We start from the raw sequence: 23,084 nt of genomic DNA, 5'->3' as shown, positions 1-23,084 counted from the left end.
ACCACGCTGCTAATAGTCCTTTTAATTAAAAAATTCCAGGAACTGGCCTTAGAGATAACAAAAGTTGGAGAATGTCCCACCTCAGGAAGGAATGCTGAACAGTTCATTTACAGCTTTGTTGCCACTGGCCAGACCATCAGGTCACCAGTTATGGCCAGTCAAGATAACTACGGCAGCCTGATAATGCTGACCTGCATACCCTACCCATCACTTGCTTTGCCCACCCCAGCTTATATACATACTTGACCCCTGATGTCAGTTACCTTGCTTTGACTAATAAAAAAAAGCCCTACCAACTCTCTGTGGAGAGTTGGGGAATTCTCTTTCTTGTACAGCCTCCTTTATGCATGGGTGTAAGCTCCAATGAAGCTTTGTGTGGGAAAACTCTTTTGGCCTCATGTCAATTTCTGTTGCATTGAAAGCCCAAGAATCCATGGTCAGTAAAACAACCATTTTAAGCATTAATTCCTGGTCTTTCCCATAGGAAACTCTCAGTCTACTGAAATCTCTTTTCTCAAACCTCTGCTGACTAAATACTCTGTCAACTCTGTCCAGCTCTTTCTTGTTTTCATGATTTTTCTTTCTTTCTTTCTTTCTTTCTTTCTTTCTTTCTTTTTTTTTTTTTTTTTTTTTGAGTTGATATCTCAGTCTATCTCCCAGGCTGGAATGCAGTGGTGGGATCTCGGCTCACTGCAACCTCTGCCTCCCAGGTTCAAGCAATTCTCCTGCCTCAGCCTCCTGAGTAGCTGGGATTATTGGTGCCTGCCACTGTGCCTGCCTAATTTTTTTATTTTTAGTAGAAACGGGGTTTCACCATCTTGGCCAGGCTGGTCTTGATCTCCTAACCTCATGAACCACCTGCCTTGGCCTTCCAAAGTGCTGGGATTACAAGCGTGAGCCACTTTGCCCAGCCGTTTTCATGATTTTTCTGTGCCCCAAAACCATTTCTTGGGGGAAAAAAATGCAGCTGATTGGTCTTTCACTGCATCTTGAAAGGAAACAAAAGATGGGACAACGTCTCACTATAAGGCAAGATTAGAAGTATCTATGCTGTAATCAGCCATAAAAATGGTTGTTTTTTCTTCAGTATACTTCATTCACTCAGTATTTTTAGCTAAAGGATTCACGCTAGGTTGGAGAACTGCTCATCTAGCCAATTAGTCTCCAAAATAAGACTTTCTGGCATATGACCTATTTTCAGCTGGTCACTTTGACTGCTTTCTGCAAGAAAAACATACATCTATGAAGGAAATCTCTATTTGTAAGGGTGTCTTTATCTCTACAAGCAGAATATGATGAGTACTAAATATTAGCAATGCTCTCAATGGAGAGCACATTGGCTTAAATCTACATAACAAGTCTTACCTTTGTTTAAGGTGCTTTGCTGGCTTAAATCTACATAACAAGTCTTACCTTTGTTTAAGGTGCTTTTCTTGGCGATCTTGTCTTAACTGGGCTTTTTCCTATACTCCTCTTTTTTGCAATAGGCAAATTATGATATTTAGCCTTGAAGTTACAGCTCTGTGCCTTTGAGATGTACATTTTCTACATGATCTTACCTAAGGGCTATTCCCTTTGGAAATGCAAATTTCGAGGTGATGACATAGAAGAAGAGAAAAGAGAGAACAAAATAAAAAAGCACTATTTGGAAACTGATGAATGAAAAATTCTAAGTCATTTTTTTTTCCTTTTCCTTTTTCTTTCTTTCACAAATGTAAGTGAAGCATTTTGACCATCTGGGCAAGGGGTCTTAATTCATCAGCCAGAAAGAAAAAACAATCTGGATACAGGTATTCTTTAATAAACTAGCGAGCTTTGTATTTTTGTACCTGTCCATATGTTTATGAATGATACATATATGTGATATTGATAGCAGCAGGAGGCAGAAAAATTCTAAGCAGACAGGGGCAGTTCCTGGTGAAACCTGATCTTCAAACCAAAGACAGTTTAAAACCTGAAAGCCAAACTACAAGTCTTGGATAAATCCATGGACCCGATTGAGAACGTCTCTTCCTTTTTGGCATGTTATCCCCAATTGATCTCCACTCTTCACCTATTTTACACATAGCTACCCTTCCCTAATTGTTTTTTAACACAGTATTGTCCATCTTTCAGTGGTGTCTTTGTTTTAGGCTTTTTTGCATACTCACAAGCCAGTCAACAGACATTCCTTCATTCTGAGCCCATAAAAGCCCTGGACCCAGCCACAGTGGGAGACAAACTACCTGACTTCTGGTGGGGACCACCCTCTTTTCCCCTCTCCACTGAGAGCTGTTTCATTGCTCAAAAAACTCTTTTCTGCCCTCTTCGCCCTCCAGTTGTCAGCATGATTTCATTCTTCTTTGATATGGGACAAGAATTTCAGACCCTGCCAAACACAGGTAGGAAGCAGGCAGTAGCACTGTAGCCTGCTGCCCTACATCATGGGAAGTAGAAGTGGGAAGTAGCAGTGGGGCTAGGCCAGCCCAAGAGCTGCAGGCCAGAGTGGAGCAATGGGACTGACAGAGCTGTTAACAAACCCATTTGGGTTGCCAGTGGTGGGACTAGAAGAGCTGTTAGCACACTGTAACATGCCCTCTGGAGCTTCAGGGTCACGGGCATTCCTATTTGGGTATCACCACATTCCCCTCGTCTGGATGCTGGAGTCCACCGAGGGAGTCACTTGCAACATGCTTGGTCCAGCCCAAGCCTCATACAGAGCCCACTCCAGTGCTGGCACTTGGAGTGGCCAGCTGGACCCCACTCGCTTGCTTACACATCCACTCCTGCTGGGATCTGAATATGGATCCCACAGCAAACATGGAATCTGGACTGGAGTGCAAGTGAGGCACAGCCCAGCAGGGTGAGTGGGCACGGCACCTCCTGTAGTGAGCCTGGGACTGACTGAGGCCTGGACAGGGGCATTGCCTGGCACAGAGGTCTCTGGCTGGCAAAGCTCAGCCAAAAAGAAAAAAAAAGCATCAATATTTTTCTATCTTCTTATGATATTGGCAGAATTAAATTGTAGAAGAGATTTATTTAACTAGTGTAAAGAAAAACAAACACATTTATAAACTAAATATTCTCTCAGGAAAATGAAAACTGTCCCCCAAACTTTCAAGTTTATGTGTCTTGAGTAATCTTTGGTAAATAAAAATTTTCTTGGTTTGATTAAGACAAGCACATCCTCAGTGTCCTCAGCTTTAAATATAATACAGATGTACAATTTCTTTTACCTAGGTTTCCTGATAAAAAGCTCATCTTAACACCATATTACAAAATTTGTCACCAAGAAAAGATGATGGCAAGCTATTTAATGTCTCATCTTTATGAATAATGTAAGCATAATTGTTTTAATAAGTTGAGTTAAATAGATGTAAGCAAAATAAAATTCCCATATGAAATATGTCCTCCCTGTAACAGAAGGTTTTAACATTCTTACCACCAAGAATGGAAAGTTGAGGCTGAGGGATAGCTATACAAACAATTGATTCTCATGCCTAGCCAAAAAAACCTAACACAGGTACGTTTTGCCTCATCTACAGTTTCTTATCAAAGATACTAATGTTTTGTGCCACACTGACAAATTGTAGTTTGGGAAACACATATTTCTTGAAATTACAATTCTTAGATTTGCTGATCTACAAATTGCTAGCAAGAAAGATGGTTTGAAATTCTTTGCTTCCTAGTGTTTACTGGAAACTAAGGTCACTAAGGGTTAAGAATTCTAATACTATGTGTAAATAAAACTGTTAGAAATAATAAGGGAAATAACTCTCTATGCGAGTATACAAGGAAGGTAAGATGTGTCTTTATATGCAAAAACTATAAGGTATGAGGATGTTTTGTTAAGGGAAGAAGAAAGTAATTTTTTTTCTAAAGAATGACTAGTTCTAAAATGAGAAGAGGGAAAGTATATGATAAAAACTGAATGGATAAGGAAGTCAGAAGGTTTGTGGAAGATGAATCTTGTGAAAGGAATTTTATGTGTGATTAAGCTAGATAAACTTAGAAAGGAATTATTTATAAGTTTTTCTAAAAATGGAGTATTAACACCAAAAGTACACTGATATGAAACTAGAATTTTGAGCCTTGTGTTAAACAACAGTTTTCTTGGAATTTTGGTCTGTTCTTAAAAGAAACCGTGAAGGGATTTTCTTTATCTCTCTTTTTTTTTTTTTTTTTTTTTTTTTGATGGAATCTCGCTTTGTCGCCAGGCTGGAGTGCAGTGGTGTGATCTCTCACTGCAACCTCTGCCTCCTGGGTTCAAACGATTCTCCTACCTCACCCTCCCGAGTAGCTGAGACTACAGGCATGCACCACCACACCCAGCTAATTTTTGTATTTTTAGTAGAGACAGGGTTTCACCATGTTGGCCAGGATGATCTCAATCTCTTGACTGCATGATCCGGCTGCCTGGGCTTCCCAAAGTACTGGCATTACAGGCGTGAGCAACCATGCCCAGCCTTCTTTATCTTTTAGTTAAATGGCCTAGGCGATAGAAAACAATGATTCTGCGTTTTACTAAGATAACTTCTTGCACTTCAGTGTTTACTAGGTTTTTGTTGGCTTAAGAAAACTGCCTTCTTTATTGAAAGAACTAAAATTTTTCTACAACAAACTTTCTGTATTTGCCTTGGAAGTCTTTAAATTATTACTTTGATTAAATTAACAATGATCATACACAGTAGCCTGTGATCCTATTTTGATCCAGTGTTTCACATCCTTCATATTTTTGACATACTTTCAGAAACCAAATTTAAATTAAGTCTTTTTTTTTAATCTCAAATTAACCTTGAGATTTTTCATGGGTGCTATTGGAAAAATCAAACAGGTATCTATCTTTGTGAAAAGAGAGATATTAAGTTAATTTGGCTTATTTGATATATTAAATTATGTGAAAGCATTGCCAAATAAGTAAGTCCAAACCTTCTTTGAATTATATTTGTGTAGATGTGTTATTATGTATTCCAGAAATTACATGCCTGTCTTAGAAATCTGATCATACTATTGTACCAGGTAAGTATTCCCAAAAACTCTAATGAAGAGACTGACTGATTCATAAAACTGCTAACCAAAAATCAAGTAGAATAAGAGTTAATTAAATACCAAGGAAATGCGTAGTCAGATTTTTATGCTAAGTCAGTCAGTACTGAAATTGTTATTATATGCAATTTGAATGAATTTCATAAGATAAATCCAAGTCAAATTACCTATAATAACTATTTAATAAACAGTGCTACATGCCTTACTTGGAGGGAAAAAAATCTAGTATTTAAAAATATGTAGATCTAATGTTAAGTGGAGACTTATGGAGGCTTTGATAGCTGCCTGATCTTTCCTGACTTTTTAAAGTTTTCATTATTAAAGACAACACTCTGACTCATTATGGAATAGATGAGATGATACAAATCATGAAAAGAAATGATGGGGTGACTATTCTAAAACTGCTGAAGTGGTTTATAACCATTGTTGGGGTTGTCAAACCCATAATTCTAGTAAGAAAATGACCTCAGTTGATACATTTTTGCCACTTACTGGATCACTTGAATATTTACAGAGGGATTTTACTCAATTGCCAACTTTGATGACTCTTTTCTGTTTGTATAAAATCTTTCCCATGCGAGAAGGCTGAATCTATAACATAAGCAAAAAAAAAAAAATTATTAGAAAATGTGTTTTGTTTATGGGGCATTCTTGGAGAAATCTTCAGCAATGAAGGTATTCATTTCACTAGAAAAATTATAAAAGTGTCAAATAAGGAATTGCAAACACAAAGCCATTAAGCAAAGCTAACTGAATCGAATGGGTTGCTTTGATCAAAGTTACTACTGATTGATGATCCACTAGAAAGTACAGACTGACCGCTTATGAAATAATTACTAGAAGGACCATGCCCCTAATAATTGGACTTCATGTATCTCACACTCATGAACTCTGAAATGACTCGATATTGCAAGACCTTAATGGATTATGCCAAAGTATATTTTTTCCACCGAAAAGAAGCCCTTTGTGAACCACCAGCAGATATCTGCTACACCATTAATGATCTAGAGTCTGGATGTTGAGTCTTTTGGAATGAACACCAGAAAAAGACTGCCCTTGGAACCCCTTGGAAGTACAACTTCGGTGCCTTGATTCTTGGATTCATGTCTCAACTTAAGAGAGCCATTCCAGACTCCTGGGATTGTACAGTCATTGGAGACCTCATGGTCAAACTGGCCAGGGAGGTTTCTTCAGAGAAGCAGATGACATCCTAGGTGTAGACAACCTTCCCAAGATCACAGGTGAAGTTACCTGCATGAAACTTTTGTCCTCCTGACTTTTTTCTCTGTGTTTCTTTTCTTTCTATACATGACAAGATAATGCAGTAATTAAGATGTCATATTTGATAGCATCCTCAGGTGTTGCGGGAAGTCAGGGACCCTGAATGGAGGGACCAGCTGAAGCCATGGCAGAAGAACATAAATTGTGAAGATTTCATGAACATTTATTAGTTCCCCAAAATTAATACTTTTATAATTTCTTATGCCTGTCTTTATTGCAATCTCTGAACATAAATTGTGAAGATTTCATGGACACTTATCACTTCCCCAGTCAATACCCTTGTGATTTCCTATGCCTGTCTTTACTCTAATTTCTTAATCCTGTCCTCTTCATAAGCTGAGGAGGATGTATGCCACCTCAGGACCCTGTGATGATTGCATTAACTGCACAAATTGCTTGTAGAGCACATGTGTTTGAACAATATGTGGGCACCTTGAAAAAAGAACAGGATAACAGCAATGTTCAGGGAACAAGAGAGATAACCTCTAACTCTGACCGCCGGTGAGCCAGGCAGAACACAGCCATATTTCTCTTCTTTCAAAAGCAAATGGGAGAAATATCACTGAATTCTTTTTCTCAGCAAGGAACATCCCTGAGAAAGAGAATGCGTCCCTGAGGGTAGGTCTCTAAAATGGCCGCTTCGGAGGGCAGCCATCTTTTATGGTCAAAGCTGTAGGGATGAAATAAGCCCCAGTCTCCCATAGCACTCCCAGGCTTATTAGGATGAGGAAATTCCCACCTAATAAATTTTGGTCAGACTGGTTGTCTGCTCTGAAACCCTGCCTCCTGATAAGATGTTATCAATGACAATGTGTGCCTGAAACTTCATTAGCAATTTTAATTTTGCCCCAGTCCTGTGGTCCTGTGATCTCACCCTGCCTCAATTTGCCTTGTGATATTCTATTACCTTGTGAAACACGTGATCTCTGTGACCCACACCCTATTTGTACACTCCCTCCCCTTTTGAAAATCACTAATAAAAACTTGCTGGTTTTGCGGCTCAGGGGCCATCATGGAACCTGCCGTCATGTGATGTCTTCCCCCGGACACCCAGCTTTAAAATTTCTCTCTTTTGTACTCTGTCCCTTTATATCTCAGACCGGCTGACACTTAGGGAAAATAGAAAAGAACGTACGTGAAGTATCAGGGCTGAATTTCGGCCGATATCTGGCTGAATTTCCCCCGATACTCAGGGAACTTAACTGAATTTTGGATATGTCATGTGAAACGTAAGTCCTTATATAATCTTAGCTTCTGGTTCACTCTGTAACTGGTATTTCAAATATGATTTCTGATACTTTCTAGACTTATGTATTCAGTTTTCTTGTTTAAATGTAACAATAGACAAAACTAAAGTGATGGTTTTGCAGTTAAACTCTGCCATAAGTTGAATAAGAAGACGAAAGGAAAAATAATTCAACAATTTGTACACAAATGTGTAACCTATTCCTTTAATTTTTGGAAGCATCAAAGCATTCAGTGATTCAGTAATGGAGCCTGGCATAAATGCTGCTAGTGTTTCCCTACTGATGACTGCTCACACACAAGGCATCCCACAGAGAGCTGTTTGTTGTGCCTTTCCAGGATGTATATTTATCTGTGAAGGATTTAACAATATTGTCATCATTTAACCATGTGCATGGCAACCCTATGTTTCAGTAAGTGGCTAATGAAGGACCAATGTAGATGAGTGATTTTAATGCTACCACTGTCACTCTATAACCAATTGAAAACTGATCATTGGGCCACACTTCTTAATTTGCACTATAGAATAAAGAGGAATTTGCTAGCAGACATAAATCCTTCCAAATAGGCATCTTTTTGAAGGGTGATTTTCCCTGGCTTCGCATTAATGTCATTTAAGTTATGATTATAGAAACCTATCTCAAATATTAGGTACCATATATAGCTGACTCTACTGCAAAGGTTACAGTTGCCCAAGGAAATTTCTTGAAACTTTCTTACTAATGTTGTCCTTAGATAACATGATTGCTTTGGACTATCTATTGATGGCCTAACAAGGGGGAGCATGTGTGATAGCTAACACTTCTGATGCCCTTGGATAAATACATCTGGTATGGAAGAAATTCAGCTGCAAGAAATCAACAAACAAGCTGAATGGCTAAAACAAATAGATTTCTCTTGTGGTTCATATTTTATATATTTGATTTTGATCAGTTTGCTTATTTGGGGCTCCTGTTAGAGTGTATTTCATTTTCTTAGTATTATCCTCCTGATAGCCATCATAATGGTTTCTCTGGTGCACCAGATTCTCTCAAGAGTCTTAAATGTTCTTATGCAGCCATCTGTCATATGCCAAGTGATCTTACTACAGTTTGAATAGTGAAAACCTAAAAAGAACAGAAGAAACATTCAACTAACCCAATTGTGAATTATAAATTCCATACTGAGACCAAACAAGATCATTGTGATGGTGACAGAATGATGTCAGTGCCCAAGGTTTTGGTCAATCTTTCCAAATTGAGAAGCCGACCAAATGGGGACATTTTAAATTAAAATAAATATGGCCTAAAACTCCCTCCATACTTTGAATTCCTTCATAACAGAGTTCAACCTAATGTTGTATTTAAAAAAAAAAAACTGCTACCTAACTTAAAAGTATATTCCTGCAACAAATGGCTGAGTCCTAGCCAATCACGGCAGCTGAGCTTCAGTTAATCACAGGGTGCCAGCTGATCAGACCATGTCCACATAAGGCATATGCCTTATGACATCATGCCCAAATAAGGCCAATGCCCAGCTGTAAACAATCAATGTGCTTCTATACACCAGTTACTATTTTTGTCTACAAATACTGAATGGCCATGTTGCCTAGTGGAGGTCTCTGAATCTCTCCTGGTTCTGAGTGCTACTAATTCATGAATGATTCTTTCTTCAAGTAAACTCTGCTAAATTTTATTTGTCTGAAGTTTTTGATTTAACAATAAAAATCATGTACAGACTGAGAACTACTGCTGCTGCCAAGGTAAAAGCTTTTACTGAGCCAATGCTGACATGAACAGCTATGAAATGGTTATCTCAGGTTTCTAGTCTGCCTCTAGCCGCCCCATTGGAAGACACTAATAGAGAGAGGACTGGCAAAGAAAAGCTGTTATTGTATAGGCACCCATCCTTCTTGTGACAAAGCAGATTGGAAAAGGGAAGGAGTTTTGAAATTGAGAGACAGCACATTAAAATTAAAATGCACATATATCATCCATGAGCCCGGCCTTTGCTCAGGAAACATGTGACTAATTTCATGAAAAATAAACCACTAAAATTACTTAAAATAATGAAAAGTATTAATATTCTAGTACTAACTTTTTCATTTAATGGCTACTATTTGTGATTATTAAATATAATAGATCTCTGGGATTTTCTTTCAATGATCTCTGACATACACAATAACATTTCTACTGCCAGGTCATTAAAAATTAACAGACGAAAAATTTCATTAGGAATTGGGTTTATTTTCTGAAATAGTAAATTTTTACTATTTTTTTCTTTTTTTTTTTCTTTTATTATTATACTTTAAGTTTTAGGGTACATGTGCAAATTGTGCAGGTTAGTTACATATGTATACATGTGCCACGCTGGTGCGCTGCACCCACTAACTCGTCATCTAGCATTAGGTATATCTCCCAATGCTATCCCTCCCCCCTCCCCCCACCCCACAACAGTCCCCAGAGTGTGATGTTCCCCTTCCTGTGTCCATGTGATCTCATTGTTCAATTCCCACCTATGAGTGAGAATATGCGGTGTTTGGTTTTTTGTTCTTGCGATAGTTTACTGAGAATGATGATTTCCAATTTCATCCATGTCCCTACAAAGGACATGAACTCTTCATTTTTTATGGCTGCATAGTATTCCATGGTGTATATGTGCCACATTTTCTTAATCCAGTCTATCATTGTTGGACATTTGGGTTGGTTCCAAGTCTTTCTATTGTGAATAGTGCTGCAATAAACATATGTGTGCATGTATCTTTATAGCAGCATGATTTATAGTCCTTTGGGTATATACCCAGTAATGGGATGGCTGGGTCAAATGGTATTTCTAGGTCTAGATCCCTGAGGAATCGCCACACTGACTTCCACAAGGGTTGAACTAGTTTACAGTCCCACCAACAGTGTAAAAGTGTTCCTATTTCTCCACATCCTCTCCAGCACCTGTTGTTTCCTGACTTTTTAATGATTGCCATTCTAACTGGTGTGAGATGGTATCTCATTGTGGTTTTGATTTGCATTTCTCTGATGGCCAGTGATGATGAGCATTTTTTCATGTGTTTTTTGGCTGCATAAATGTCTTCTTTTGAGAAGTGTCTGTTCATGTCCTTTGCCCACTTTTTGATGGGGTTGTTTGTTTTTTTCTTGTAAATTTGTTTGAGTTCATTGTAGATTCTGGATATTAGCCCTTTGTCAGATGAGTAGGCTGCAAAAATTTTCTCCCATTTTGTAGGTTGCCTGTTCACTCTGATGGTAGTTTCTTTTGCTGTGCAGAAGCTCTTTAGTTTAATTAGATCCCATTTGTCAATTTTGGCTTTTGTTGCCATTGCTTTTGGTGTTTTAGACATGAAGTCCTTGCCCATAGCTACGTCCTGAATGGTAATGCCTAGGTTTTCTTCTAGAGTTTTTATGGTTTTAGGTCTAACGTTTAAGTCTTTAATCCATCTTGAATTGATTTTTGTATAAGGTGTAAGGAAGGGATCCAGTTTCAGCTTTCTACATATGGCTAGCCAGGTTTCCCAGCACCATTTATTAAATAGGGAATCCTTTCCCCATTGCTTGTTTTTCTCAGGTTTGTCAAAGATCCGATAGTTGTAGATATGCGGCATTATTTCTGAGGGCTCTGTTCTGTTCCATTGATCTATATCTCTGTTTTGGTACCAGTACCATGCTGTTTTGGTTACTGTAGCCTTGTAGTGTAGTGTGAAGTCAGGTAATGTGATGCCTCCAGCTTTGTCCTTTTGGCTTAGGATTGACTTGGCGATGCAGGCTCTTTTTTGGTTCCATATGAACTTTAAAGTAGTTTTTTCCAATTCTGTGAAGAAAGGCATTGGTAGCTTGATGGGGATGGCATTGAATCTGTAAATTACCTTGGGCAGTATGGCCATTTTCACGATATTGATTCTTCCTACCCATGAGCATGGAATGTTCTTCCATTTGTTTGTATCCTCTTTTATTTCCTTGAGCAGTGGTTTGTAGTTCTCCTTGAAGAGGTCCTTCACATCCCTTGTAAGTTGGATTCCTAGGTATTTTATTCTCTTTGAAGCAATTGTGAATGGGAGTTCACTCATGATTTGGCTCTCTGTTTGTCTGTAGTTGGTGTAGAAGAATGCTTGTGATTTTTGTACATTGATTTTGTATCCTGAGACTTTGCTGAAGTTGCTTATCAGCTTAAGGAGATTTTGGGCTGAGACAATGGGGTTTTCTAGATATACAATCATGTCGTCTGCAAACAGGGACAATTTGACTTCCTCTTTTCCTAATTGAATACACTTTATTTCCTTCTCCTGCCTAATTGCCCTGGCCAGAACTTCCAACACTATGTTGAATAGGAGTGGTGAGAGAGGGTATCCCTGTCTTGTGCCGGTTTTCAAAGGGAATGCTTCCAGTTTTGTCCATTCAGTATGATATTGGCTGTGGGTTTGTCATAGATAGCTCTTATTATTTTGAAATACGTCCCATCAATACCTGATTTATTGAGAGTTTTTAGCATGAAGCGTTGTTGAATTTTGTCAAAGGCCTTTTCTGCATCTATTGAGATAATCATGTGGTTTTTGTCTTTGGCTCTGTTTATATGCTGGATTACATTTATTGATTTGCATATATTGAACCAGCCTTGCATCCCAGGGATGAAGCCCACTTGATCATGGTGGATAAGCTTTTTGCTGTGCTGCTGGATTCGTTTTGCCAGTATTTTATTGAGGATTTTTGCATCAATGTTCATCAAGGATATTGGTCTAAAATTCTCTTTTTTGGTTGTGTCTCTGCCAGGCTTTGGTATCAGAATGATGCTGGCCTCATAAAATGAGTTAGGGAGGATTCCCTCTTTTTCTATTGATTGGAATAGTTTCAGAGGGAATGGTACCAGTTCCTCCTTGTACCTCTGGTAGAATTCAGCTGTGAATCCATCTGGTCCTGGACTCTTTTTGGTTGGTAAGCTATTGATTATTGCCACAGTTTCAGATCCTGTTATTGGTCTATTCAGAGATTCAACTTCTTCCTGGTTTAGTCTTGGGAGAGTGTATGTGTCGAGGAATTTATCCATTTCTTCTAGATTTTCTAGTTTATTTGCGTAGAGGTGTTTGTAGTATTCTCTGATGGTAGTTTGTATTTCTGTGGGATCGGTGGTGATATCCCCTTTATCATTTTTTATTGCGTCTATTTGATTCTTCTCTCTTTTTTTCTTTATTAGTCTTGCTAGTGGTCTATCTGTTTTGTTGATCTTTCAAAACATCAGCTCCTGGATTCATTAATTTTTTGAAGGGTTTTTCGTGTCTCTATTTCCTTCAGTTCTGCTCTGATTTTAGTTATTTCTTGCCTTCTGCTACCTTTTGAGTGTGTTTGCTCTTGCTTTTCTAGTTCTTTTAATTGTGATGTTAGGATGTCAATTTTGGATCTTTCCTGCTTTCTCTTGTGGGCATTTAGTGCTATAAATTTCCCTCTACACACTCCTTTGAATGCGTCCCAGAGATTCTGGTATGTTGTGTCTTTGTTCTTGTTGGTTTCAAAGAACATCTTTATTTCTGCCTTCATTTCGTTATGTACCCAGTAGTCATTCAGGAGCAGGTTGTTCAGTTTCCATGTAGTTGAGCAGTTTTGAGTGAGATTCTGAATCCTGAGTTCTAGTTTGATTGCACTGTGGTCTGAGAGATAGTTTGTTATAATTTCTGTTCTTTTACATTTGCTGAGGAGAGCTTTACTTCCCAGTATGTGGTCAATTTTGGAATAGGTGGGGTGTGGTGCTGAAAAAAATGTATATTCTGTTGATTTGGGGTGGAGAGTTCTATAGATGTCTATTAGGTCCACTTGGTGCAGAGCTGAGTTCAATTCCTGGGTATCCTTGTTGACTTTCTGTCTCGTTGATCTGTCTAATGTTGACAGTGGGGTGTTAAAGTCTCCCATTATTAATGTGTGGGAGTCTAAGTCTCTTTGTAGGTCACTCAGGACTTGCTTTATGAATGTGGGTGCTCCTGTATTGGGTGCATATATATTTAGGATAGTTAGCTCTTCTTGTTGAATTGATCCCTTTACCATTATGTAATGGCCTTCTTTGTCTCTTTTGATCTTTATTGGTTTAGTCTGTTTTATCAGAGACTAGGGTTGCAACCCCTGCCTTTTTTTGTTTGATAGATCTTCCTCCATCCTTTTATTTTGAGCCTATGTGTGTCTCTGCACATGAGATGGGTTTCCTGAATACAGCACACTGATGGGTCTTGACTCTTTATCCAATTTGCCAGTCTGTGTCTTTTAATTGGAGCATTTAGTCCATTTACATTTAAAGTTAATATTGTTATGTGTGAATTTGATCCTGTCATGATGATGTTAGCTGGTTCTTTTGCTCATTAGTTGATGCAGTTTCTTCCTAGTCTCGATGGTCTTTACATTTTGGCATGATTTGGCAGCGGCTGGTACCGGTTGTTCCTTTCCATGTTTAGTGCTTCCTTCAGGAGCCCTTTTAGGGCAGGCCTGGTGGTGACAAAATCTCTCAGCATTTGCTTGTCTGTAAAGTATTTTATTTCTCCTTCACTTATGAAGCTTAGTTTGGCTGGATATGAAATTCTGGGTTGAAAATTCTTTTCTTTAAGAATGTTGAATATTGGCCCCCACTCTCTTCTGGCTTGTAGGGTTTCTGCCGAGAGATCCGCTGTTAGTCTGATGGGCTTCCCTTTGAGGGTAACCCGACCTTTCTCTCTGGCTGCCCTTAACATTTTTTCCTTCATTTCAACTTTGGTGAATCTGACAATTATGTGTCTTGGAGTTGCTCTTCTCGAGGAGTATCTTTGTGGTGTTCTCTCTATTTCCTGAATCTGAACGTTGGCCTGCCTTACTAGATTGGGGAAGTTCTCCTGGATGATATCCTGCCGAGTGTTTTCCAACTTGGTTCCATTCTCCCCGTCACTTTCAGGTACACCAATCAGACATAGATTTGGTCTTTTCACATAGTCCCATATTTCTTGGAGGCTTTGCTCATTTCTTTTTATTCTTTTTTCTCTAAACTTCCCTTCTCGCTTCATTTCATTCATTTCATCTTCCATCGCTGATACCCTTTCTTCCAGTTGATCGCATCGGCTCCTGAGGCTTCTGCATTTTTCACGTAGTTCTCGAGCCTTGGTTTTCAGCTCCATCGGTTCCTTTAAGCACTTCTCTGTATTGGTTATTCTAGTTATACATTCTTCTAAATTTTTTTCAAAGTTTTCAACTTCTTTGCCTTTGGTTTGAATGTCCTCCCGTAGCTCAGAGTAATTTGATCGTCTGAAGCCTTCTTTTCTCAGCTCGTCAAAGTCGTTCTCCGTCCAGCTTTGTTCCATTGCTGGGGAGGAACTGCGTTCCTTTGGAGGAGGAGAGGCACTCTGCTTTTTAGAGTTTCCAGTTTTTCTGTTCTGTTTTTTCCCCATCTTTGTGGTTTTATCTACTTTTGGTCTTTGATCATGGTGATGTACAGATGGGTTTTTGGTGTGGATGTCCTTTCTGTTAGTTTTCCTTCTAACAGACAGGACCCTCAGCTGCAGGTCTGATGGAGTACCCTGCTGTGTGAGGTGTCAGTGTGCCCCTGCTGGGGGGTGTCTCCCAGTTAGGCTGCTCGGGGGTCAGGGGTCAGGGACCCACTTGAGGAGGCAGTCTGCCCGTTCTCAGATCTCCAGCTGCGTACTGGGAGAACCACTGCTCTCTTCAAAGCTATCAGACAGGGACATTTAAGTCTGCAGAGGTTACTGCTGTCTTTTTGTTTGTCTGTGCCCTGCCCCCAGAGGTGGAGCTTACAGAGGCAGGCAGGCCTCCTTGAGCTGTGGTGGGCTCCACCCAGTTCAAGCTTCCTGGCTGCTTTGTTTACCTAAGCAAGCCTGGGCAATGGAGGGCGCCCCTCCCCCAGCCTCGCTGCCGCCTTGCAGTTTGATCTCAGACTGCTGTGCTTGCAATCAGCGAGACTCCGTGGGGTAGGACCCTCTGAGCCAGGTGCGGGATATAATCTCGTGGTGCGCCGTTTTTTAAGCCTGTCGGAAAAGCGCAGTATTCGGGTGGGAGTGACCCGATTTTCCAGGTGCTGTCCGTCACCCCTTTCTTTGACTAGGAAAGGGAACTCCCTGATCCCTTGCGCTTCCCGAGTGAGGCAATGCCTCACCCTGCTTCGGCTCGCGCAGGGTGCGTGCACCCACTGACCTGCGCCCACTGTCTGGCACTCCCTAGTGAGATGAACCCGGTACCTCAGATGGAAATGCAGAAATCACCCGTCTTTTGCGTCGCTCACGCTGGGAGCTGTAGACCGGAGCTGTTCCTATTCGGCCATCTTGGCTCCTCCTCAACAAAGTTCTGGAGGGCGGACCGGGAGGTGGTGCCGGGTCTCGGTCCCAGTGCTCTCCTAGCGTGGACTGGCGCGAGGCACACGCGTACTCTCACTGCCTCCGCTCTTGGAGTGGCAGCCCGGGGTGCAGCCTCAAGTTGCTACTGCTAACTGCTGCTGCTGCTGCCGCTGCTGCAGGAGGAGGTGGAAAGACACTGGGGGCAGTACTCGGTCTAGAGCATCCCCACACTGCAGCTTCTCCAGGAATCCCCTACTATTTTTTTCTGAAATAAAGTTTAAAGATTTTGCTCTTTGTTCATAATTGAAAGTTGAACATTTTGCATTTCTTTATTAGGTGAAGTTTGAACAGTTTGCTTTTCTATCTCAGGTGAAGTTTGAACAATTTGCACTTCTTTCTTAGATGATGTTTTTCTCTCTTTCTTTCTTTCTTTTCTTTCTTTCTTTCCTTTCTTTCTTTCCTTTCTTTCTTTCTTTGTTTCTTTCTTTCTTTTTCTTTTGTTGTGTGTATCACTGAAAGCAAAATTAACAAACAGTAAAACAAAAGAGAAAAAGGAATTAAAAAATTACTATCAAGAAAATCCTTTTGAACAACTCTTTCATCTTTTTGGGGTGGGCAGGGTATAGGTCACTATCAACACTACCTCCAGTGCCCTGTATCAGGCAATAAGTATTTTCCACCTTTGGTTGCAGTGGCACTAATGTTTATGGTTGCAGATTCCTCTCATATTGCGGGTCTTAGAAGAAGAAGTACTTTTCCAAAATGATAATGAACACACTTCCTGTCAATGTACGCTTGTTTTGGACCATACTCTGTGCTATTTTTCACTACACCAATATCAGTTATTGTCATCCCCAAATGAAAGTCAGTACTGTAGCTGGTAACACCACTGATGTGAGTTCAGTGCTCAGTAGTGTGATCTCTCAAATGGGTAATTTCTTTCACATTCTCACATTGAACTCTCCCACAAAAGATATCTGAGATATTATATCTTACATGTCCAGCCTCAGATACCACAGTGACCAAAATGGTAACCACAGGTATTAATTTCTCTGTAGCAACTCTGATTTGCACTGTTTGCTTCTTTGCCAAAAATTTGCCTACACTGTTCGTAGTTAATACATCCCTTTTCATAGCAATAGACACTGCCCATGCAATGGATCCTGTTGTGCACATTCATATCTGCTGGACAATATGTGAATTTCTATTGAAACACTATGAGATAACGCATTCATTGTTCTCTTCTCTGCACATATTGCCTGACAGCATGAATTAGCAGGCTTTGCATCAAAGCCCAAAAGCACAAGCAGCCCCAGATTTCAGAGTGTAGTTTGCCAAACAACATGGATATTTTGCACACAATCGTAAGGATCCACAGTCACACTTCTCTCCTTCTTCAACCACACCATTGCCACAGCACTTCTCTGCAATGATGTTCTCTGGATTTCAGTATACAAATAGTGCTTAGATAAAAGGCTGACCAATATAGAATAATTTCTGTGTCTGAATAGATGACTTGTCTTTGATATATATATATATTTTTTTTTTAAGACAGGCTCTCACTCTGTCTCAGGCTGGAATACAGTGGCACAATCACAGCTCATTGCCAGCCTCAATTTTCCTGGCTCAGTGGCTCAATGGATCTGCCCATCTCAGCCTCCTGAGTTGCTGGGACCACCACATCTGGATAATTTTTTATTTTTTGTGGAGACGATGTTTCACCTTGTTGCCCTTTATATTCTTGAAGACATCGTGCATGTTTCATGACCACAAGAACAATCTTTACCATCATTCTGCATACCAAACCTATGACCTAACTCGTGTACCAACAGCAATGCAAATGATATAAATTCAGTACCTTGGAACTGTATAACTCTATAATTAAAACCAATATTACAGGTTGAACCAATAATGGTATAGGATAATAATCTACCATATTTATCCTTTACTGCAAGTTCTACACCATCATCAGATATGTAGAAATTATAGCTATTTATTTCCATTTGCCAAAGTTATATAAGAACACATAGGTCACCTGCTGTAACTTGGTTTTCTTCATTCCAGATCTCAAGTACAGTTAAAATCACATTAAGTCCTATGGCACTATTAAACAACATTTAATTTGTTGGCAACAACTATTATTTCCTCCTGCCCAAGGGAGGTATTACTTTCCAAATAATGAATAGTCTACCACTATTGCCAGTTCAAGAAAAAATGCGTGGGTTCTCCCTCCAGCCCTCATAGCCACTTTGCATCAGAGTGGAATTATCACATTCTTGAAACTTTAATTCTCTTACTATATCTTCTGTTAATCCACGTTTCATGGTTGGGAATTTTGTCTCCTGACTACCCAGCTTTTTATACCAGATGCTCAGATGTGGCAGAAGGCCTTTTGGGTGTCATTTCATAATCAATGTAATTTATCTGTAGCGTTCCTTGAAAACCCCCAAAACAGTTGCTAATAGCAACCAGGGATTCTGGATCCCTTTCCACAAAACTATGATAGCAGCAGTCATTCCAGACAATAGGGTGATCTTCCAGGAGAGCATGTTGGTCTTTGTAGGTGAACACTGGGAGGTGTTTGGAAATCAAAAGCTTCTGATGTGGACAATATGTCTCTTTTTCCCAAATTACAAGCTACAGGAGAGCCAGCTTAGAAGATTCATACCACTACCAGTGCAAGTTACCCTCAGGGTTATCACCACTTCTGGGGGGCTGTGGTCTTGTGCCCAATATGGGCTCATCAAAAAAGGAAGAGAAATATCCTCAGTGAGAGCAGCAGGTGTGTGATCCTCATATGCAGCAGGGCCTCACCCGCAGCCTTTATGGAGCCACCATGATGGAGCTATGAGTGAGAGCAAAAGAGGGGAAGGCAGGAGGCAAGATTCGTCTGTCTTTCTCCCTTGGGTTGATTTTATGCAATGCTGACCCTTAGTGGTCTGTTTTCTGACAGTCAATCTATCAGAGCAGCCAAATTAAAAGACAAAATAAAAAGAAGGGAAGACACACAGGTGGTGTTATGAATAGGCCAGGGTGAAGAAGAAACAGGAATATATGGGTGAAAATGGATTAGTGTTTGGCTCAACACATGACTCAATATATAATACTACATTGGATTGGCTTTTCAACATTGGTGACGCAAACTCAGACTGTATACTAAAAAATGACAATTGCCTGCCAGTTGATAAATCCCGAACCCAGATAAAGAACACATGGATTCATTATGCTGTTATCAAAATATATGTATATGTGTGCACATTTTCACAAATATTTAAAAGGAAAGGCTCTTAAAAGCTGAACGTATATCTTGTTTTGATAAGGGAATCTTGATTTATACATATTGAATTGGAATAAATATCAATATTCTTCCTTTCAGTTTCAAGTGATACATTATTTAGTTACATTACTCTGGAGATATATATATATATATGAAATACTTTCATATCTTTTTTCATCTTTCTTAATATATACTTCCATGCAACAAATCATTACTTGTCCTATCTTCACTTCTTCCTGTCAAATTACAAAGCATCAGTTGCTCTTCAAAAATAGTAGTATTTACTGTAGTGGATACCTTTGTGGAATAACACAATAAAAAAATAGTGGAATTAAATGAGGTAGTACCATGTGTCCATAGATAGATATTACTCAAAGATGTATATATTTAGTTATACCCTTAATAAAAATAACTCTTTTCAAAGCCTTTGGCTATGAAAAATGAAAAGGAAATAAAACAAGCCAGGAAAGTAACGGTCAGAGATGTGAAAATGCTGAAGACAAAACAAACTGCCTTCAGAAATGAAAAGGAAATTAATGAACCCCAAAAAGGGGGAGGAAGGCTTTGGGGAAGGTAATATTATGCTGGAACAAAGGCATCAATGTCCCTTGCAGTTTTAAGACGATAAAGTCACCAGCTCCTGAGATTGACCTCCAAAAGTATTTATGTCATATATGAAAAAACATTTACATAGCTTATATAAAAATACAATAAAAAGTTTTACCTAATAGTACAAATTTATTACCACGTATTTGTGCAAATGAGAAATCTAGTATGGCTGGCAACACTGATTTGTTGCTTTGCTCTTCAATAACACATTAATTAAACCATGTAATATGTAGACACTAAGCTGCATACTTAGAAACAAAAATGAATGATACAGGCCAAAATAAGTTAATGATACGTAGCATAAATTCAGGCAGAGTGTTTGGGGCAAAGATACACTTTAGGAATTTGTAAAATTCCATTCCATATTTTACATAGAAAATGCCTAGTTTTATTTAGCTAGTGAGAGTATTCACAGTGATTATCAGGCTATTAATGATGAGATTATCAAAGTAATGAGATTAAGAACTACTGGCTTAATTGAAAAAAATCACAGGAGAAAGTGAAATCTGCTATGAGGAATCTAAAACACACCGATTAAATACCACTTTCAATGGTAGGTAATACAAAAATCAAAAATGCTAGTTTCAGCACCTGTCATCTTCTATACCTGGATTCTTTTCTACTTAATTATGTTTTATCTTGATGTTTGACCTCTTTTCTCTGGAATCATTTTCCTGTCACTTACAGAACCTTTCTTTCATGAAAAGCCACAATAATCTCTTCTCCACTCGTATCTCTTTATGGAGAGCTCATTATTGCTACTGAAGTTTACAAAACTTATATCTCAACGATGGGAAGCCCAGCAGAGAGGGAGTTTTCTATTCTCAGCATTCTCATATTCCCTATAAACCAGATGTTTGGCCATAATTTGCTTTGATTGCCAAAGGCCCTTACAAACCACTTAACTGGCAGCCATCTCATTATATTATTATCTACTTTTCTTCCTTACTATTACACCAACTTCCCAAATCAGTCCTGCACAAACCACAAATAAATGGGTGTCTGATACTACTTTCTTCTCTGCCAATCATCTTATCCAATTATGCCAATAATATTTACTGTGTTTGCCAAGCATGGAAAACCCATACAGCACCCAGTTTTTTGTTTGTTTGTTTGTTTGTTTGTTTGTTGTTACCTGTACATCTCATCTTCAATAAGCTTTTGCTGTTGACCTATGGCCATCACCTCTATGGTGTTACCATCCTTGACCATCCTAATTTGGATATATTAGTTAACCACAACTTGTATTCTTAATTGAAACTTACACATCAAATTCATAGAGGATTAAAATCACTTTCTTTTCTTTTTTCCCTCTTTCCAAATTCCCCTCCTGTGCCTTCCATCCCCATAGCCTAGCTCTGGACTTCTTCAGTTCAACCACTGTTGACCACAATCCTCAAGTGAATCTAGATTAATCCTTTGTCTGCTTTGGCCACTCCTACAGCTCACTGCCAACACTTCTGGAATAATAAATCGCAGAATATATTTAGGGGTGCTTAAAAAGGGGAAACATAAAATTAAGATCAAATGGCCTGACATTTCACCCTTAAATGATGAAATCATGGACAGATATTTTAAACACTCCTATGCTCTTAATAATTTTTATTTTGTTCACATTTTTTCTTAACTAGCTGTTTTTCTAAGTTTCCTCATTAATGCATAGGACCCTAAGTGAAAATCAACCTTGTCTTCATTTTTATGAGTTACTATTGTTATTGCGTATCAGTGATTTTAAGTTATAAAACCAAAAATTTTTCATTTCATGTTTGTTTAATATAGGATTAGATATTTAGTATTTGGTTTGTCATTGTACGTATGTAGCAGCGGATTTTTTGCAGGCTGAATATGTTATCCTTCTCACTAAAGTGAAAAGAGTGGCTTGATTGCTTGGGTAAAGTAATCAAGTGATATAAAAGGGAGGTTTACTTCACAAAATGCCAAGAGGCCACAAGAAGAAAGCCACATCAGTAGAAGAAATCTTTGAGGACAACATCTATACATTGTGAGTAAAATTTTGTTACGCTGATTTTCTCTCCATATCTCTCTTGATATATATTTGTTAATTTTTATGGAGTGTGGATTTTTGTTGTGATGGAAAAGGATTATTTTTCATTAATGTAGCCCCATTGAGAGTGAACTTAACCAGTATACATCTTTCAGAATTTGTTTATAAGAACTTATCTTGCAAGCAGTAGGAAACAAATTGAAAAAAATATTTGAGCCAGACTGCCTTTGCACTTATTACATTATCTTATACAATGACTCCAGAGACTACACCTCCTGAGAAAATATAATATTTTCATTAATAATGTGGTATAGTGCTATAATAGTAGAGACTTCAAAGTAGTTGGTCATACATTACCCTTTACAAAGTTTGGGTTTTTTGTCTCCACACTCATTGAATTCATCATTCTCTGTACCCTAATTACCACATCCCTCTCGCTCTCATTTATAGCCTAATTCACTGTTTATAAACTATGAGTAAAATTTTAAAAAAATCCTTAAAAACATGTTAAAGATTCTGAAGCAAGTAAGTAGACTACCAAATAATTGAGTGTAAATCCTCCTGAATATCTGAACACTTGGTAAAGAATTACATTGTGCGTGTATGTGTATCTGTGTGTATTCATGCATGCATAAGTACTGGTGCTTCTCTCTTCTAGAGCTAAACTTTTGAATGACTTACCAACAGATGAATTGTCAGCTCCAATTGTCAGATCTTATCTAATTGTAGCCCTATTCGTGGACTGGGATTGTTTATACACTCATCTTTGTGAATATTTTTATTTGAGGCCTCACATGATGAAGAGAATCATAAATTCTCTCCTTCAATTGTCTCTCATTTAAGTTTTAGATTAATTGCCTAGCAACAGGAGTCTCTCAGTTCTATAGAATATAGCAGTTGGGTAAGATTTATCCCTACTCTAGCTGCATTATCTCTACCAAATTTTATAATTACTCTTTAACATTAATAAATATAGTTTCTTTGTTCTCATTCTGTGTGCTCCAGTAACTCTTCAGTATTAAGAAATCTGATTTCCTTCCTCCGTTTATATACCTGATAAATAATCTCTTTACCTTCTGTACTTTAGCTCATACTATTACCTGGTCACAGATTATTTCCTCAAAATTGAACCATATAATGGAATACTTCAGGTATTTTAAATTCTAGAAAAAAATTCAACCTCATTTAAAACAATTTTTAAGGAATTCAACTATCAGTAATCATCTATATCTTTTTGTCTAAGGTCAATGAATAACTGAGAGACATTTCACATCTATACATACATATGCTTCATTTCTTATGGAGGGCTGTTGTCAGTAAGAAAAGACAAAACAAAATTTGAAGAAGAGAGCGATGAATAAAGTAAT

At 38.6% G+C, this 23,084-nt stretch overlaps 1 long non-coding RNA gene and 1 pseudogene across 1 annotated transcript, besides 1 other annotated feature; both read right to left on the bottom strand.

Moving 5' to 3' along the window:
* Window positions 1–1,506: 1,506 nt before the first annotated feature.
* LOC105377552 (uncharacterized) lies at window positions 1,507–22,539 on the bottom strand. The gene is made up of 3 exons (XR_939495.3): window positions 22,399–22,539; window positions 5,518–5,616; window positions 1,507–1,573 (listed from the first exon to the last, which is right to left on the bottom strand). It is a non-coding gene; the product is annotated as an uncharacterized LOC105377552 (long non-coding RNA).
* Window positions 1,850–2,392: an enhancer, noted in NCBI's record as "OCT4-NANOG hESC enhancer chr4:175954327-175954869 (GRCh37/hg19 assembly coordinates)". NCBI's record gives its function as "activates a minimal SCP1, AML or CMV promoter by ChIP-STARR-seq in primed H9 embryonic stem cells {active_cell/tissue: H9 hESC(primed)}" and the evidence as "EXISTENCE:reporter gene assay evidence [ECO:0000049][PMID:30033119]".
* On the bottom strand, window positions 16,432–18,632 carry LOC100131553 (disintegrin and metalloproteinase domain-containing protein 21-like; annotated as a pseudogene).
* Window positions 22,540–23,084: the final 545 nt, after the last annotated feature.

This window comes from Homo sapiens, chromosome 4, assembly GCF_000001405.40.
Source record: "Homo sapiens chromosome 4, GRCh38.p14 Primary Assembly".
Lineage (NCBI taxonomy): Eukaryota > Metazoa > Chordata > Mammalia > Primates > Hominidae > Homo > Homo sapiens.
This window is presented reverse-complemented; position numbering and strand designations above follow the sequence as displayed.